Here is an 18,709-nt window from a genome sequence, read left to right on the forward strand (position 1 = left end):
TATATTATTTATATCATATGAGGGCTTTTTTGTTTACATATAAATATATTGGTTATATTTTAATTGTAAATTAAATGTTTTTTTTTTTTTTGAGACGGAGTCTCGCTCTGTCGCCCAGGCTGGAGTGCAGTGGCGCGATCTCGGCTCACTGCAAGCTCCGCCTCCTGGGTTGACGCCATTCTCCTGCCTCAGCCTCCCGAGTAGCTGGGACTACAGGCGCCAGCCACCACGCCCGGCTAATTTTTGTATTTTTAGTAGAGACGGGGTTTCACTGTGTTAGCCAGGATGGTCTTGATCTCCTGACCTTGTGATCCGCCCGCCTCGGCTTCCCAGAGTGCTGGGATTACAGGCGTGAGCCACCACGCCCGGCCTAAATGTATTATTAATGTATATAAATATTGATTAGAAAAGTGCCAAATACCTCTCCACCCCAGGGCTCCAGAGGCAAAATCACTCTCAACTGCTTTGGCTGAATATGTTGCAACTACACTCTTATTTCCCACTTTGGGAGGCCGAGGTGGGCAGATCACCTGAGGTCAGGGGTTCAAGACCACCCTGGCCAACATGGAGAAACCCCCATCTCTACTAAAAATACAAAAATTAGCTGGGCATGGTGGTACACGCTTGTAATTCCAACTACTCAGGAGGCTGAGGCACAAGAATCGCTTGAACCCGGGAGGTGGAGGTTGTATTGAGCCGAGATTGCACCACCTCACTCCAGCCTGAGTGATAGCACGAGACTCCGTCTCAAAAAAAAAAAAATTACAGATAAAACGAAAGTCCCCTTGGAAAATCCTTTCCAGCTCACTCCCACTGAAGTGTTGACCGTTACTGTATGCTTTGACACTTCTCAGCGCTGAGGTACATGCCTCCATGTACTTCTTGGTGCATTTTTTGAAACCCAGTGGAATCCAGCTGTCTATATTGTCTTGAAAGCTGCCTTGCCCACTCAGCGATTGAGCTTAGAGCTCTCTCTGGGTCTTACAAATCCCCAATTTTTGTAACGTCTATATCTATGGTGGGAACTGCCCTTAAGCTGGTTCCCTCTGGTGTCCACATAGTTGTTCACAGCTTTATACTATGGCAAACAAAGCGAACGTGCACATTCCCGTGATAGGACAGGCACTTTTTTCCAACTTTTTATTTTATCTTTTTGAGTTAGGATCTTACTCTTGCCCAGGCTGGAGTGCAGTGGTGCAATCACAGCTCACATCAGCCTCCACCTCCTGGACTCAAGCAATCCTCTTAACTCAGCCTCCAGCGTAGCTGGGACTACAGGCGCTCACCAACCATACTCAGCTAATTTTAAAATTTTTTGTAGAGACAGAGTCTCACCATATTGCCCAGGCTGGTCTTGAACTCCTGGGCTCAAGCGATCCTCCCATCTTGGCCTCCCAAAGTACACAGGCATGAGCCACTGCGCCTGGCTGGCTGGCATATTTTATATTTAAAAAATTAACTGCTGGCGTGGTGGTGCACGCCTGTAATCCCAGCACTTTGGGACGCCAAGGCGGGCAGATCACCTGAGGTCGGGAGTTCAAGAGCAGCCTGACCAACATGGTAAAACCCCATCTTTACTAAATACCAAAAACTAACTGGGTGTGGTGGTGCATGTCTGTAATCCCAGCTACTCAGGAGGCTGAGGCAGGAGAATTGCTTGAACCTGGGAGGCGGAGGTTGCATTGAGATGAGATCACGCCATTGTACTCCAGCCTGGGTAACAAGAATGAAACTCTGTCTAAAAAAAAAAAAAAATTAACTAATGATGCCTGCAACTTACTTTCAAATGGTTCAGAAAACAACATATGGAGAGAACCTGGTCTCTACAAAAAAAAAAAAAAAAAAAAAAAAAAAAAAAGCCCCCAAAAACATATGGAGAGAAAGAGAGACCAAACAGTAGGTTGATCTGGATGAAGGACACCAGCTCTTTGTACGATACTTGCAACTTTTCTGGTGTTTTAAATCCTATTTTCTGGGGTCCCCTGGGCTTTCTCACTTGCAGGTGCAGAGGGAGATGCTGGTGATTGTGGAAGATAGAAACGACAACGCACCCGTTTTCCAGAACACCGCTTTCTCCACCAGCATCAACGAGGTGACACCTGCCTTAATGTGGTTGTGGGGCAGGGGGCATCCCAAAGTGCTTCTCAGAGTAGGAAGAGCCAGAGACAGTCAGTGGGGCATTCAGAGTTGGGAAAAACCTCTCCTAGCAGGGGCAGCTTCAAGAACCAAAGCCAGGGGGATGTAACCCCACAAACTGGTTACAGCAATATTTTGCAATCAGTCAGGTTAGGAATTCTTTCAGTGATGAAAGCAAAAAAAAAAAAGGGAGTTGATTTTTTTTGTGTAGACGGAGTCTCACTCTGTTGCCCAGGCTGGAGTGCAGTGGCACGATCTCGGCTCACTGCAAGCTCCGCCTCCTGGGTTCACACCATTCTCCTGCCTCAGCCTCCCAAGTAGCTGGGACTACAGGCGCCCGCCACCTCGCCCGCCTAATTTTTTGCATTTTTAGTAGAGACGGGGTTTCACCGTGTTAGCCAGGATGGTCTCGATTTCCTGACCTCGTGATCCGCACGCCTCGGCCTCCCAAAGTGCTGGGATTACAGGCGTGAGCCACTGCGCCCAGCCTCGTGTATCTAAAAAATTTAGAGGTACCTCAGACTTCAGGCATGGCTAGATCCAGGTACTCAAATCATATCTTGATTTGATTTGAGCCAAATCATATCGTGAAATTTGATTTGAAATCATATCTTCAGGCATGGCTGGATCCAGGTACTCAAATCACATCAAGATATGATTTGAGTTTCTCTCCTCCTCTCAGCTCTGCTTCTCTTATTGCCTCCATCCTGGGGGAAGAGAGGCAAGTCTCTCATGTGGTGATAAAAGTACAGGCTCGCCGGGTGCCGTGGCTCACTCCTGTAATACCAGCACTTTGGGAGGCTGAGGTGGGCGGATCACCTGAGGTCGGGAGTTGGAGACCAGCCTGACCAACATGGAGAAACCCCGTCTCTACTGAAAAAAAAAAAAAAAATTAGCCGAGTGTGGTGGCACATGCCTGTAATCCCAGCTACTCAGGAGGCTGAGGCAGGAGAATTGCTTGAACCTGGGAGGCAGAGGTTGCAGTGAGCCGAGATTGCACCATTGCACTCCAGCCTGGGCAACAAGAACAAAACTCCATCTCAAAAATAAATAAATAAATAAATAAATAATAAAAAAATTAAAAAATTAAAAAGTACAGGCTCACATTGAGGAGACCGTCTCTTTCTCAATCTTTCCAGCCCAAAGCCCAGGGCTGACTTTCATTGGCTCATTTTAGGTCATGTGCTATCCTTGAGCTAATTTAGGGGTATGGAAGGCTCTCATGGGTTGGGTCTGCATCGTGGGCCTTCCCCGCAGCAAGGGGGAGGAGTGGGGACAGTTCCACTTAAGCTACATGGGTGGAAAGGAGATTCCCTGATGGTCACTGGGCAGCAAATACCACCACTCCTGAACTTCCGTTGCCATGTGCCTGCAAAGACCTTCCAGGTGGGGGGCCCCATGCCAGGCCAGACACGTGTGGTCTGGACAGCCATGTGAGAGGCTCTGATGCAATGCCTCAGCACCCGGCACTGTCTAGGTGCTAAGGTTACCTGGGGAGCAAGACAGACCTGGTTGCTACTCTCAGCAGCTCACCTTCTAGGGAAGGCCACAGACAGGAACCAATGAAACAAAATAAGCAGAATGGATTTCAGATGGCGGTGAGCCCCACAATGAGCACGAGACAAGGCAAAGTCAAGGAAGTGACTGCAGCGGGCACTGCTTTAGGTTGAAGGGTCAGGAAAGGCCTCTCTGAGTTGAGGGCATCTGAACAGAGAGACCTGAATGGCAAGAAGGAGCTGGCAGGGGATGCTCCAGGAAGGGGTGCTCCAGGCAGGGGGAACAACAGGTGCAAAGCCCTGAGGCAGGAACAAGCTCAGCCAGTGTGGCTGGAGGGGGAGGGTGAGGAGGAGGTCAGGTCAGAGAGGCGAGTGGCAGCCCAGGCTCGAAGGAGTCTGGACTGTGATCTGGGCAGAATGGGGGGACTCTTGGGGGATTTGAAGGAGAAGAGTTATGTGGTCTGATTCATGATTTTCAAAGATCTCTGTGGCCACCATTAGGAAGTATAGGTCGTGGCTGGGCACGGTGGCTCACACCTATAATCCTAGCACTTTGGGAGGCTGAGGCGGGTGGATCACCTGAGGTCAGGAGTTCGACACCAGCCTGGCCAACACGGTGAAACCCTGTCTCTATTAAAAATATATATAAAAAAAATTAGCTAGGCATGGTGGTGGGCGCCTATAATCCCACCTACTGGGGAGGCTGAGGCAGGAGAATCGCTTAAACCCAGGGGGCAGAGGTTACAGTGAGCCGAGATCGTGCCCCTTCACTCCAGCCTGGGCGAAAGAGTGAAACTCCATCTCAGGAAAAAAAAAAGGAGGTAGAGTTGGTGTGTACAGGGGCCCAGGAGCAGAGTACTCCCCAAAGAAGCCTCCAGCTCTGTAGGGCGCTGTTTGAAACCCATGGCTATAGGCTGTAGAGAGCACATGGGATGTCTGAGTGCGCAGTGGCACAGTGAGGCTGGGCTCTAGAATGATCCCTCATCCTGGTTCTGAGGGGCTCCGACAATCAGAAGCCAGCTTAGGTGGTGGAGAGGCTGTGTGGGGAGGGGAGGAGGGAGATCCTCTCTGCCGCCCCGCACCCCCAGGTGCCTTCCACCCGCAGCCCTGGTGGGAAGGACAGGGGAACCCTGTCCCCATGAGTGCACAGCTGAGGACACTGAAGCTCAGGGGGGCAGTGACGGACAAGGGAGAGGAGGAGCTGGATTTGAGCTCATAGGTGACGAGTCCCTCCCTGCAGACCCTGCCCGTGGGCAGTGTGGTGTTCTCCGTGCTGGCCGTGGATAAAGACATGGGGTCTGCAGGCATGGTCGTGTACTCCATAGAGAAGGTGAGTGTGAAGGGGGCCCTGACCGCCTTTGTGACCGCCAGGGGGCAGCATCTCCACAGACAACCCACAGGGCCTGAACGTTGGGGTGGGGACATTGGTCCTGCCTTGGCCCAGCCCTGGTCCCCAAACCGTCCTCTGGCCACCAGCCCCCCTCCCCGGAAACCTCGCCTTGCCCGCTTACCTAAAGAGGGTGCCTGCTGCAGACCAGACCCTTCTTCCTGCCCGCCTGCTCCCAGGTCTTGTCCAAATTCCACAGACAATAAGGGGTGTGTAAACCCATTTCTCATGGAAACAGACTTGCTGTTGATAGCGCCATTTACCGAGCACCAACCACGTGCCTGGCACATACTGTATAGTCGCCCCTTGGTATCCGTGGGGACTTGGCTCCAGGATCCCTGAGGACACCAAAATCCATGGCTGCTCAAGTCCCTGACATGCAACGGGGTAGTATTTGCATGTAACCTAGACACATCCTCCTGTGTGCTTTAAATCACCTCTAGGTTACCTCCAATACCAATGCAATGCAAATACTATGTAACTATAGCATGTTATGCTATATTGTTTAGGGAATCATGGCAAGGGAAAAAGTTTGTACACCTTCAGTACAGACGCAACCATTGTGAGTGAGCCTAGCTACAGTTTTGATCTGTGCTGGTCAAATCTGTGGATGTGGAAGCCACAGAGATGGAGGGCCGACTGCATCTTATTGGATCCTCCTTTCAACCCACTGAGGGTTGTCACCAGCCCCATTTCCTGGAGCTGGAAACTGAGGCTCAGAGAGGTCATATGACCTGGTGCCAGTGGCGTGACTGGTCAGTGGCAGAGCTGGGACCTTCCCTGCGTTGCTCAGAGTGGGGTCCTCGGTGCAGGGCTGTCCCTAGGGAGCCTGACCCAAGTCTGCTCTGCCCCAGGTCATCCCTAGCACTGGGGACAGCGAGCATCTCTTCCGGATCCTGGCCAATGGCTCCATAGTCCTCAATGGCAGCCTCAGCTACAACAACAAGAGCGCTTTCTACCAGCTGGAGCTGAAGGCCTGTGTGAGTGGGGGTGCCGGCAGGCGGGCCTAGGACCCACGGCGCTGGCTCACGGGTGGCCATCTCCCCGCAGGACTTGGGCGGCATGTACCACAACACCTTCACCATCCAGTGCTCCCTGCCTGTCTTCCTGTCCATCTCCGTGGTGGACCAGCCTGACCTTGACCCCCAGTTTGTCAGGGAGTTTTACTCGGCCTCTGTGGCTGAGGATGCAGCCAAGGTGCACGGGGGACCTGTGGGGTGTGGGTGGAGGCGGGAGGCGGGGAAGTTTGAGGAGCACTGACCAGGCCCCATTCCAGGGAACCTCGGTGCTGACGGTGGAGGCTGTGGATGGCGACAAAGGCATCAATGACCCTGTGATCTACAGCATCTCCTGTGAGAACGGGGTGTCCCCAGGCCAGGGCTGGGCCGGGGCCAGGGTGGGGTCTCCGTCAGAGTCCCTGGAGGCAATGGGCCTGGGGCTCCGTCAGAGCCACTGGAGCAGCTGTTCCAGCTGTTCCGCCTTTCTCCTTGCCAGACTCCACGCGGCCCGGCTGGTTTGACATCGGGGCAGATGGGGTGATCAGGGTCAACGGCTCCCTGGACCGTGAGCAGCTGCTGGAGGCGGATGAGGAGGTGCAGCTGCAGGTCACGGTGAGCAAAGGCCCCACCACCCCTGTCAGAACCCTGCTCTCTAACCTCTGGCCTTTGATCTCTCTCTCTGAGCACTGGCTCTCTGCCCTCTGCCCTCTGCTCTGTGCCTCAGGCCACCGAGACACACCTCAACATCTACGGGCAGGAGGCCAAGGTGAGCATCTGGGTGACAGTGAGAGTGATGGACGTCAATGACCACAAACCTGAGTTTTACAACTGCAGCCTCCCAGCCTGCACCTTCACCCCCGAAGAGGCCCAAGTGAACTTCACTGGCTACGTGGACGAGCATGCCTCCCCCCGCATCCCCATCGATGACCTCACCATGGTGGTCTACGACCCGGACAAGGCAGGCGTGGTGGCGTGGGTGTGGGCGGGGGTGGCTGGGGGAGGCCAGTGGGAGCCTGGATCGAGTGACGGTGTCATGTGGTGCTGGGTGGCGGTGCTGGTGGTGCAGGGTGTGATGGCGGAGAATGGGGGTGCTGGGTGCTCTCTGGAAGCCTGTGTTGGTAAGCAGTATCATCCTCTGGGCGATCCGTGTGGGGCTGAATAGAAGGCCATGCTGAGTGGAGGCTGACGTAGAACGTCAGATGATGCTGAGTAGAACATCATTGTCCGTGGTGATGGGTGGCTGGCGAGGTCTCCTGGCATTGGGCGGCCATGATTTGGGTAGTCCTGGGAACTGGGGGAGGCTGAGCAGTGTTGGGACAAGTGGTCTGAGGGTGTGAGGTGGGAGGGTGCTCTTTTTTTTTTTTTTTGAGATGGAATTTCGCTCTGTCACCCAGGCTGGAGTGCAATGGCCCAATCTTGGCCCACTGCAACCTCTGCCTCCCAGGTGGAAGGGATTCTCCTGCCTCAGCCTCCCAAGTAGCTGTGATTACAGGTGTGCACCACCTCGCCCAGCTAATTTTTGTGTTTTTAGTAGAGATGGAGTTTCACCATGTTGGCCAGGTTGGTCTTGAACTCCTGACCTCAAGTGATCCACCTACCTTGGCCTCCCAAAGTGCTGGGATTGCAGGCGTGAGCCACCGCGCCCAGCCATGGGAGGCACTCTTAAGTGGAGGCTGCAGTGAGAGGTGGGTAACACGGTGGCGCTGGAGGATGAGTAACTCTGGAGGGTGTATGGTGTTAGGTGATACTGAGGGGTTGGAAATGTTGCGTGGAGGACAGTGTCGGGTGGGGTTAGGTTGGCCAGAAGGGTGGCACTGGCCAGTGGGGTGACGTAGGGTGTGAGTGGTGTTTGGTGTTGCTGTGGGGGCTGGGGGTGGGGGATGTGAAGGGTGGGTGGGAGGGACAGCTGACAGGAGTGAGGGGTGTGTGTCCAGGCTCCAGCCCAGGTCTGGGACCCACAGTGCCTAGGGAGCTGTCTTCTACAGAGCCTGCATTTGCAGGGACTGGTGACCAGCCCAGCCTCCTGCACCCTCTCTCGCAGTCTTTTGAGAGCCCCCTTCCATGGGACCTCATCGGGCGGGGCATCCAGAGATAGAAGCCTGGGGACTGGGGGAAGATGCAGGTGGGCAGAGCAGGGGGACAGGTCCCTGCTAGACAGCCCACCTTTACAGGGCAGCAATGGCACCTTCCTGTTGTCGCTGGGGGGCCCCGATGCAGAAGCCTTCAGCGTCTCCCCGGAGCGGGCAGTGGGCTCAGCCTCCGTTCAGGTGCTGGTGAGAGTATCCGCGCTGGTGGACTACGAGAGGCAGACGGCGATGGCGGTGCAGGTGAGGGCTGCTCCGGGGTGCCAGGGGCAGAAGCCGAGGGGCACTTGGGCCCCACAGCTGCTGCCTCCTCCCCTGCCCCCAGGTTGTGGCCACAGACTCCGTCAGCCAGAACTTCTCCGTCGCCATGGTGACCATCCACCTTAGAGACATTAATGACCACAGGCCCACGTTTCCCCAGAGCTTGTACGTCCTCACGGTGCCAGAGCACAGCGCCACCGGCTCTGTGGTCACCGACAGCATCCACGTGAGTGATGTGGACACAGTGGGGCTGTGGGGTCCCAGCAAGCGGGCGTGCATGTGTGAGTGTGAGAGTGTGTGTGTGTGTATGTGTGAGATGGGGGTGGCCATGAGTGAATCTGAGTGTGCTGGGGATTCTCCCTTTGTGTGAGGAAGCACGACAGCTCTGTCCCCACGAGCTGCATGGGTGGCGGTGCGTGCATCGCCTCCACACAGCACCCTGCCATGTCTCTGCCTCACAGGCCACGGACCCAGACACGGGCGCGTGGGGCCAAATTACCTACAGCCTGCTCCCAGGAAATGGGTAAGGGCTCAGGGTGGGCCGTAGGCAGGTGGGTGAGCAGGGCCCAGGCCCACCTCTCTGCCTCTCTGCAGAGATAGAATAGCTGGGGAAGACCGAAGGCACTCAGTTACATTTCAATTTCAGATAAACAAGGAATGACTTTTTGAAATAATGAATATGTTGCATATACTGCATGGGATATGCTGAAATATTTGTTGTTGTATATCTGAAATTCACACTGAAATGGGCATCCTGTGTCTCTATTTGCTGAACCTGGCCCCTCTGAGCAGGGCAGACCTCTTCCAAGTGGATCCCGTCTCAGGGACGGTGACGGTGAGGAACGGTGAGCTGCTGGACCGGGAGAGCCAGGCCGTGTACTACCTGACGCTGCAGGCCACAGACGGCGGGAACCTGTCCTCCTCCACCACACTGCAGATCCACCTGCTGGACATCAACGACAATGCACCCGTGGTTAGCGGCTCCTACAACATCTTCGTCCAGGAGGAGGAGGGCAATGTCTCCGTGACCATCCAGGTGTGAGCCTGCCTGGACCTGGTGGGTAAGGCTGGGGGAGGGGACCAAGCCTGCTCTGTGGGCATGCTGGCCCTGGGTAAAGTCGGGGCTCCGCTGTGTGGCTCTGAGACAGTCACTCAGAGTCTCTGTTTCCTCCCAGGAAATGAAGAAAATTATAGCCTTACTCTCAGGGTCATTGGGGAATAATTTAATGACTTGTGTGAGGAGCTCAGCACTGGGCCTGCCAGAGAAATCCCTCAAAAACATACACTTCTTTTTTATTTACCCACCTGCCCCACTCCAAAAAGGACTTGAGGTGGCTTAGATAAATAGTAAGATAAAAATATGAAAGAAATAAGAAAAAAGAGAAAATAAAGGTGGCATTTGTTAAAGGGCACAAGGTAAAATTAGAACCCAGTGCTACAGAATTGCTTGGAGTGAGCTGCAAATTCTGATCTGAGCTTCATGGTGGCCAAAGCAAAAAAGGAAATGAGATCAGTGGCCAGGTTCACAGAGTTCATGAGATAAAAACCCACTAGTGACTCCAGAGAAACACCGGGGAGTAGCTTCCTCCCTCGTCCTGAGGAGTTCGGAAGCTTCGCCCCTGAGGCATCTTGTGAGAAGTGAGAAACCAGGTCCTCAGAGTGACAATCTGGTGGCCACAGAGCCCTCCCGTCTTTCCAGGACTGTGTAGTTTCCAGAGCATGTTCCTATCCCTGATCTCTTGACCAGCTTTGGAAGCAGGCGGTCTAATAGTTCCCATTTCTCAGGAGACAACAGGCTCAGAAAGGTTAAGTGATTTTCTGTGGTTACACAGCCAGTAAATGATGGCGCTGGGGCTGCAGCCCAGACCTCTCTGGCCCTGAAGCCTTGGCCTTTCCTCCTTCCTGCTTGGCACTTCTCCCCTGGTCTGTGAGCTCCTTGGGGCAGGAGCATTTCTGGTCGGCTGCTGTAACCGTGGTGCCCAGCATGAGCCCCAGGGAGCACTTGATGAATTAACTGGCCTGAGTTCAGGGCACCAAAGGATGAGCAGACAGGATGAGGCTTTTGGAAAAAATAAACATCTCCAGCTGCTTTCAAAGGATGCATGTAATAAACAAGGTCCCAGCAGAATGAAATGGAGGAGCTGAAGGTGGAGACTGGCTGGGAGGAAGGAAAGAATTGGTTGAGTCGGAGTGGTCCCACTCTGGATTCAAGGCCACGTTTGCTGAGCACTTACCCAGTCTTTGGCTGGGCCCTGAGTCCTCAGAGATGAGTCCACCACCATTCCTGCCCCCCAGGCGGCTCCCAGTTAGGAAGAGGGCGTCAGACAGTCACCCAGCGGTGTCACCTGTGCTATGTTGAGGCCCAGAGGAAGCGCCAACCTGGCCTGGAGTCAGGCAGGGAAGGTGTGGGAGGCATCGGGGTGAGGGAACGGAACCTGCAAAGGCCTGGCGGCACAGAGGAACCCGCTGTGTTATCCACACTGGTTCACCCCAAAGACAAACCAAGCATGCCTTCAGGGCCCTGGCAGGACAGGAACACACACACACACTCACGCACGCACTCACACACGCACTCACACACACACTCACACACGCACTCACACACACTCACACACGCACTCACAGACATACAAAGTGAGTGAAGAATCAGCTATTTAAAACATATAGCGCTGACGGCCGGGCATGGTGGCTCCTGCCTGTAATCTCAGCACTTTGGGAGGCCGAGGTGGGTGGATCACTTGAGATCAGGAGTTCGAAACCAGCCTGGCCAACATAGTGAAACCCCATCTCTACTAAAATTACAAAAATTAGCTGGGTGTGGTGGTGCATGCCTGTAATCCCAGCTACTTGGGAGGCTGAGGCAGGAGAATCACTTGAATCCAGGAATTGGAAGCTGCAGTGAGCTGAGATCATGGCACTGCACTCCACTCTGGGCAACAGAGTGAGACTCCACCTCAAAAAAAAAAAAAAAGAAAGAAAGAAAGAAAAAAAAGAAAACAAAACAAAACAAAAGAAGGGCCAGACGTGGTGGCTCACGCCTGTATGTAATCCCAGCACTTTGGGAAGCTGAGGCAGGTGGATCACCTGAGGTTAGGAGTTCAAGACCAGCCTGGCCAACATGGTGAAACCCCATCTCTACTAAAAAATACAAAAAATTAGCCTGGTGTGGTGGTGGGTGCCTGTAATCCCAGCTACTTAGGAGGCTGAGGCAGGAGAATCACTTGAACCCAGGAGAAGGAGTTTGCAGTGAGCAAGAGAGATCGCACCATTGCACTCCAGCCTGGGCAACAAGAGCGAAACTGTATGAAAGAAAAAAGAAAAAAGAAAAAATATGTATATAGCACTGAAGTAGTCATTATGGGAAAATGAGAATCTTGCTGGACTTCACACTTATGAGTTTAAAACTTTCTTTGTCTACAATTTCCTGCCCCCATATCCCCCTTCCTGCTAGAATATCAGTAGCAAAAGGGCCTGTCTTGATGATGGCTCTATTCTTTCTTTGCACCTGGAACGGGGCTGGGCACGTAGGTCCACAGTGGCCGTTTGTGAGATGAAAGAATGGCCTCAGTGCTGAAGATCTCAGAAGCTCTTGCAAACTGCTGACCTGAGCCTCTTAGATGGGAAACTGGGGCTGGGAGATGGGCCCAGGGGCTCCAGGCCTGATGACTGCCTGCGTGGGCCAGCGCTGGAGAGGAGGGTCCGGCTGCATCGGAGGGGCTGGGGGCTGGGAATGCCGATGGCCGATGACCAACCCCTGCTTACGTGCACAGGCCCACGACAATGATGAGCCGGGCACCAACAACAGCCGTCTGCTCTTCAACCTGCTGCCTGGCCCCTACAGCCACAACTTCTCCTTGGACCCTGACACAGGGCTCCTCAGAAACCTGGGGCCCCTGGACAGAGAGGCCATCGACCCCGCCCTGGAGGGCCGCATTGTGCTGACAGTGCTTGTGTCTGACTGCGGCGAGCCTGTCCTCGGCACCAAAGTCAATGTCACCATCACTGTGGAGGTAAGGCCTCGCTTAGCCAGGATGGGCCTGGGGGCCTCCCAAGCCGATAGCCAGCCCCTCCAGCTTGAGTCACACTTCTGCCCTCTGCAGCCAGCCTGCCTGGGTTACAATCCCGCTCACTCGTATGGCCCCAGGCAATTACTCAACCTCCCTAGGCACTCAGGCTCCTCATCTATAAAACGGGGGTGAAAAAGGTTAAAGATTAAGTGAGTTAATGAATGGAAAGTGCTTGGTAGAGTGCCTGACCTATAGACAGTATCAGTGAATATCAGCTCTAATTGTCACTCATAAAGTCCCACCTGAAACCCTCCTGTCTCCCTGCCACCATTGAAAAGCAAAGGGAAGGGGTGAAAATCAGCATTGCTGGTGTCTATTGCACATCAGGGCATCCGCCAAGGTTGGGATGGTTATTACCATTTTGTTTTTATTTATTTATCTATTGATTTATTTATTTTTGAGACAGGGTCTCCCTTTGTCACCCAGGCTGCAGTGCAATAGTGCCATCATGGCTCACTGCAGACTCAACCTCCCAGGCTCAAGCGATCCTCCTGCCTCAGCCTCCTGAGTAGTTGGGACTATAGGCATATGCCACCATGCCTGGTTAATTTTTTTATTTTTGTAGAGATGGGGTTTTTCCATGTTGCCCAGGCTGGTCTTGAACTCCCGAGCTCAAGCGATCCACCCGCCTTGGCCTCCTAAGTAGCTAAGACTAAAGATGCGTGCCACCATGCCTGGCTAATTTGGCTAATTTTTAAAATTTATTTTTCATAGAATCAGAGTCTCACTTATTGTCCAGGCCAATTTTGAACTGTTGGCCTCAAGCGACCCTCTCAACTCAGCCTCACAAAATGCTGGGATTACAGGCATAAGTCACTGAGCCCGGTTTATTACCGTTTTATTGATTGAGCAACTGAGGCGGGCCTAGTTGCTGTGGCTCATGCCAAAAACCTCAGTACTTTGGGAGGCCAAGGTGAGAGGATTGCTTGAGCCCAGGAGTTTGAGACTGGGCTGGGCAACATAGCGAGACCCCATCTCTACTAAAATAAAAAATTAGCCAGGCATGGTGGCATGTACCTGAAGTCCCAGCTACTTGGAAGGCTGAGGCAGGTGGATCATTTCAGCCCAGGAGGTTGAGGCTGCGGTGAGCTATGATCATGCCACTGCAATCCAGCCTGTGAGACAGAGCAAGACCCTGTCTCAAAAAAAGAAACTGAGGCACAGAGAGGTTCAGTACCTTGCCTGGGGGTCACAAAATTGGGTTTTGACTTCAATCAGTCTGGTTCTAAGGCTGCCACCAGCCCACAAGGCACCTTCCTCTGGAACAGTATTGTGACAAATGTGCACCTCTGCCGTGTCTGTGATGTGGATGGCACCCCATAGGGTTGTGCAGTGCACAGCCTGCACCACTGCACATAGCAGCCCTGTGTCCCCTGGACTGGGATGTGCCATTTTCACACAAGGGTCAGAGAGTGAGACCTCAGAAATGAAGAAAACGAAGCAGAATGAGGACTTGCTGGTTGTCCTTAGGGTGGGAGGGCTGCAAAGAGAGAACTTCATTTCCTGAGTGAACAGGTTTCTTCACCCCTGTGAGCCGTCCTCACAATTGCCCTATTAGTGGGGACTACTACCCCATTTTGCAGATGAGGACACTGAGGTCCAGAGAGGTCAAGGTCACACATGAGGCAGAGGTGGAGCAAGATGTGACTCAGTGCTCTTATCCACTCCTGTGAGTTAGGGTGACCTTGAGAATGCAGCTGGTCTTGTGCGTGGAGCCAATGATGTCATCGCTGGGAAATTAGCAGCAGAAAAGACATCTAGCTAAGGTGCAAGAATGTTGTCTTCCAAATGTTCATTCTAGGGTTATTCAGAAAAACAAACACCTGTTATGTGACCCACAAACCTGGGAAGGGCTGGAGTGCTCAGGGCATCCCCCAAGCACATGCCAGTGTTAGGAGACATAGGGGAGGGCAGAGTCACCTCCAGGCTGTGACAATAGTTGCAGGGCTCCAGCTGTGCCCAGTGGGCTAGGGCTGGCCACAGAGGTGAGAGCCAAAAACAGCTGGTGTCTGAGGCAGGAGCAGGTCTAAGCTTCTGCAGGTCCCCGGAGCCCAGCTCTGACTGAGCACAGAGCTGGTGTTGTGGGCTCAGTTGTGTGCAGGAGGGACAGGGGTAGGAGGGGACAAGGGAAAGTGTGGGCCTTGGAGCCTTTGTGGACATATAATGGTATTGGTGCCAACACAATAAATCCGAGAGATGGGAGTCAAGCTGGGCCAGGCAGGGTCGCAGGTGGGGACCCAGAACTGTGCTTCTAGAAAGCAGGGTCTAGAACAAGTCCTGAGCTGTGGTCAGAGAAACAGGAAGCAAGCAGGGCTTCCTGAGGATGGATGTGTAAGGCCAAGGTCCCACTGTAGGTCCCTGAACCCCGGGTGTGTGACCTGGGCAAGTTCCCTCCTCTCAGAGCCTGTCTCCTCATCTGGGAAGTGGGCAGTGAGGTCTGAGGCACTAGTAGAGTCCATGCCTTGGAGCACAGGGATTATTGGTTTCTCGGATTGGCTCTGGGGAGGGTGAGATTGGATCCCGGGGACTCAGACCTGTCTCTGACTGCAGGACATCAATGATAACCTGCCCATCTTCAATCAGTCCAGCTACAACTTTACGGTGAAGGAGGAGGATCCAGGTATGTGCTCCCTGGGCCAGGAGAGACACTGCGGCTGGGACCCAGTGTGGCTTTGTCAGGGTGGACCTCGAGTTCCAAGAGAGGCAAGGGCAGAGGAGGCTTCCGATGGCGGGGTCAGGAGTCCTTCTGAGCTCTGCCCCTTGTCCACAGGAGTGCTAGTGGGCGTGGTGAAGGCCTGGGACGCGGACCAGACGGAAGCCAACAACCGCATCAGCTTCAGCCTGTCGGGGAGTGGTGCCAACTACTTCATGATCCGAGGCTTGGTGCTGGGGGCTGGGTGGGCTGAGGGCTACCTCCGGCTGCCCCCGGACGTGAGCCTGGATTACGAGACACAGCCCGTCTTCAACTTGACAGTGAGTGCTGAGAACCCAGACCCCCAGGGGGGTGAGACCATAGTAGACGTCTGCGTGAATGTGAAAGACGTGAACGACAATCCCCCCACCCTGGATGTAGCCTCACTCCGGGGCATCCGTGTGGCTGAGAATGGCTCACAGCACGGCCAGGTGGCTGTGGTGGTTGCCTCGGATGTGGACACCAGTGCCCAGCTGGAGATACAGCTTGTGAACATTCTCTGCACCAAGGCCGGGGTCGATGTGGGCAGCCTATGCTGGGGCTGGTTCTCAGTGGCGGCCAACGGCTCTGTGTACATCAACCAGAGCAAAGCCATCGACTACGAGGCCTGTGACCTGGTCACGCTGGTTGTGCGGGCCTGTGACCTAGCCACGGACCCCGGCTTCCAGGCCTACAGCAACAATGGTAAGGCAGCCTGTCCTTGCAGGGCTTGGCAGGCCATAGCTTAGGGGCCGCGGGAAGGAGCCCTGGGCTGGAACTCACAAGGTCTGGGCTCAGATCTTGGCTCCAGCCCTTTCCAGCTGCAAATACTGGGAAAGTCCCAAACCCTCTCCAAGCTTCAGTTTCCCCATCTGTCCAGTGGAGTTGGGCAGTGGGGTGGGCTGTGAAGATTCAATGAGAATATGGATGTATGGCATTTATTGCAGTGCCTGGCATGCAGTAGCATCAAATTAATGCCATTATTTTACAAGATGCTGTGAAAGAAAGATAACACTGCAGAGCTAGATGTGTGCTTGTATCCCACTTCTGACACCAAATAGCAATAATAATCACATTAACAACTAGCATATATTGAGTCCTTATGACAGCCAAGAACTACACCAGGCACCTTGTAAGAATTTTTCCACTTCCACACAACCCATGGGGTAGGTGTTCCCTATCCAATTTTATAGATGAGGAAACTGAGGCAGAAAGTGGGTATTTAAACAACCAGCTTATATAGTTAGAATGTGTCAGTATAATGTCATAGGTGAGATCTACCTAGGCTGGGCCCAATCCTGGCCCACCACTATTGCTGTGTGACTTTGACAAGCTGCTTATCTGCTCTGAGGTCTGGGATGATACTCCCACCCACACAGGCCAGAGAAGACCGATCAGGCATTCTGGGTCAGGAGCAGGGAAGGGGACTGAGCATGGGGGAACACATGGGAGAGAAGCTGCGGGGCATGGGGTTGAGGCTGCGGGGCACGGGGTTGAGGCTGCGGGGCACAGGGTTGAGGCTGCGGGGCACGGGGTTGAGGCTGCGGGGCATGGGGTTGAGGCTGTGGGGCACAGGGTTGAGGCCCAGGCTCTTTGGGTCAAGCTTTTGCCCAGAGCCAAAGCCAGCTGACCTTGTCTCCTAGGAAGCCTCCTCATTACCATTGAGGACGTGAATGACAATGCACCCTATTTTCTGCCTGAGAATAAGACTTTTGGTAAGCAGCAACCCCATTCACACACCATACCCCTGCTCCATAAGGCCGCCTTTGAGCAACCCCGACAGACCCTCCTTGGACCCCAGGGGGAGCCTTTAGAAAGGGGGGAAGGCCTCTAATCCTGCATCTTCCTAGGGCTGCAATAGGAGAGGACATTGGAGTTTTCTTTTTTCTTTCCTTTTTTTCTTGAGACGGAGTCTTGCTCTGTCGCCCAGGCTGGAGCGCAATGGTACGATCTCAGCTCACTGCAACCTCCGCCTCCCAGGTTCAAGCAATTCTCATGCCTTAGCCTCCAGAGTAGCTGGGGCTACAGGCATGCGCCACCACACCTGGCTAATTTTTGTATTTTTAGTAGAGACAGGGTTTCATTGTGTTGGCCAGACTGGTCTTGAACTCCTGGCCTCAAGTGATCTGCTCGCCTTGGCCTCCCAAAGTGCTGGGATTATAGGCATGAGCCACCATGCCCAGCCAACACTGGAGTTTTCATTCCAGCTCTGTCCGACCTAATGTCTGGCCCTGGGCCAGGACTTCCCTCTCTGGGCCTCCATTTCCGCATGGTCCTGTGGGCCTGTGACCTCACCTGTGACAATGGGAGGTGGATGACTTGCTAACTACTGGCCCAGTGGTGGCTGTAATAGGGGTCTCTTTTGGTAGAGAGGTTGAGGGCAGGTTTAGGGGGATGAGCCCTGAGCTGGGCTCGTGACCAGCCTTGGTCCAGGTGGGCAGTGTCCCGACCCCGCTGACCCCGTTCCCGTTCACACCTGCAGTGATCATCCCTGAACTCGTGCTGCCCAACCGGGAGGTGGCTTCTGTCCGGGTAAGTTCTTGGCTCCAGCCTTTGTTGGTCATATGAGCCCCAGGGGACACAGGGCTGAGGCCTTCAGGCCTTCCATGGTAGAAAGAAAATATATGGGCTCCAACACATGAAAAAGAAAACCCCAGAAGGGAAACCAACACCTGTCTAATCAATGTAATCAAACTTCACTGTGATAAATGTAGCATTCATAAAAATGTCATGACCGTAAATACCACTTGCAGTCCAGATATTTCTTACTATACCAGAATTCTTGAGTAATACAGAGAACTCATAGCTAATTGTAAATTAAGCCAGTGCCTTGTCATTAAATAATTCTCAGAGCCAGCTGGGCACGGTGGCTCAAGCCTGTAATCCCAGCACTTTGGGAGGCCAAGGCAGGTGGATCACCTGAGGTCGGGAGTCTGCGACCAGCCTGACCAACATGCAGAAACCCCATCTCTACTAAAAAATACAAAATTAGCTGGGTGTGGTGGTGCATGCCTGTAATCCCAGCTACTTGGGAGGCTGAGGCAGGAGAGTCACTTGAACTCGAGAGGCGGAGGTTGCGGTGAGTCGAGATCACGCCATTGCACTCCAGCCTGGGCGACAAGAGTGAAACTCTGCCTCAAAAAAAAATAAATAAATAAATAAATTATTGGAGCCAAGTCATAAAAAGGCTTTCAGCTGTTTATGGTGTTGGATGTGGCAAGTTTATTAGGGGTGGTGGCCATGCCGTGTGGGGATGAGGCTTCCCACACCACCGAGGGCTGGGCCTGGCTGGGCTTCTTACTGACCTGGAGAGCTGCCTACCCTCTCTGGGACTCCGTTTCCCTGTTCAACAAGAAGCTAGCAGTTCCCAGAAGGTGGCATGTGGGTGCCATTCCCTATGCTTTGGAAAGGACATGGGTACAAGAGATGGACAGGGCTGGCCTTCCCCACTTAGAGCCGAGTGTAAGGACAGGGTCTCTCGGAGCCTCAGCTTCCTCTTGTAAAATGGGGATAGTAATTCTCCCTCTCTAGGTTGACGTTCATGCTAGAGACAGTGACTGTGTGACTTTCAAGTCTTAAGACAGCTTCCCAATCTTCTGCCAATTTGGT

The 18,709-nt window shown here is 53.4% G+C and overlaps 1 protein-coding gene across 2 annotated transcripts in view, besides 1 other annotated feature; it reads left to right on the top strand.

The window, feature by feature from the left end:
- Positions 1-18,709, top strand: part of CDHR2 (cadherin related family member 2) — a 53,464-nt gene that overhangs the window by 26,700 nt on the left and 8,055 nt on the right. For both annotated transcript variants that reach the window (NM_001171976.2, NM_017675.6), the window contains exons 6-21: positions 2,003-2,092; positions 4,873-4,962; positions 5,874-5,999; positions 6,070-6,216; positions 6,296-6,371; positions 6,514-6,629; positions 6,742-6,975; positions 8,189-8,344; positions 8,427-8,588; positions 8,824-8,885; positions 9,155-9,398; positions 12,133-12,372; positions 14,980-15,049; positions 15,200-15,805; positions 16,744-16,815; positions 17,583-17,632. In NM_001171976.2, the coding sequence (NP_001165447.1) occupies positions 2,003-2,092; positions 4,873-4,962; positions 5,874-5,999; positions 6,070-6,216; positions 6,296-6,371; positions 6,514-6,629; positions 6,742-6,975; positions 8,189-8,344; positions 8,427-8,588; positions 8,824-8,885; positions 9,155-9,398; positions 12,133-12,372; positions 14,980-15,049; positions 15,200-15,805; positions 16,744-16,815; positions 17,583-17,632 (2,541 nt within the window). The remainder of the gene's footprint in view (positions 1-2,002; positions 2,093-4,872; positions 4,963-5,873; positions 6,000-6,069; positions 6,217-6,295; positions 6,372-6,513; positions 6,630-6,741; positions 6,976-8,188; positions 8,345-8,426; positions 8,589-8,823; positions 8,886-9,154; positions 9,399-12,132; positions 12,373-14,979; positions 15,050-15,199; positions 15,806-16,743; positions 16,816-17,582; positions 17,633-18,709) is intronic.
- Positions 9,218-9,512: a silencer, noted in NCBI's record as "tiled region #7457; HepG2 Repressive DNase unmatched - State 12:CtcfO". NCBI's record gives its function as "represses a minimal TATA promoter and a strong SV40 promoter by Sharpr-MPRA in HepG2 cells {active_cell/tissue: HepG2}" and the evidence as "EXISTENCE:reporter gene assay evidence [ECO:0000049][PMID:27701403]".

Source organism: Homo sapiens, chromosome 5 (genome assembly GCF_000001405.40).
Source record: "Homo sapiens chromosome 5, GRCh38.p14 Primary Assembly".
Lineage (NCBI taxonomy): Eukaryota > Metazoa > Chordata > Mammalia > Primates > Hominidae > Homo > Homo sapiens.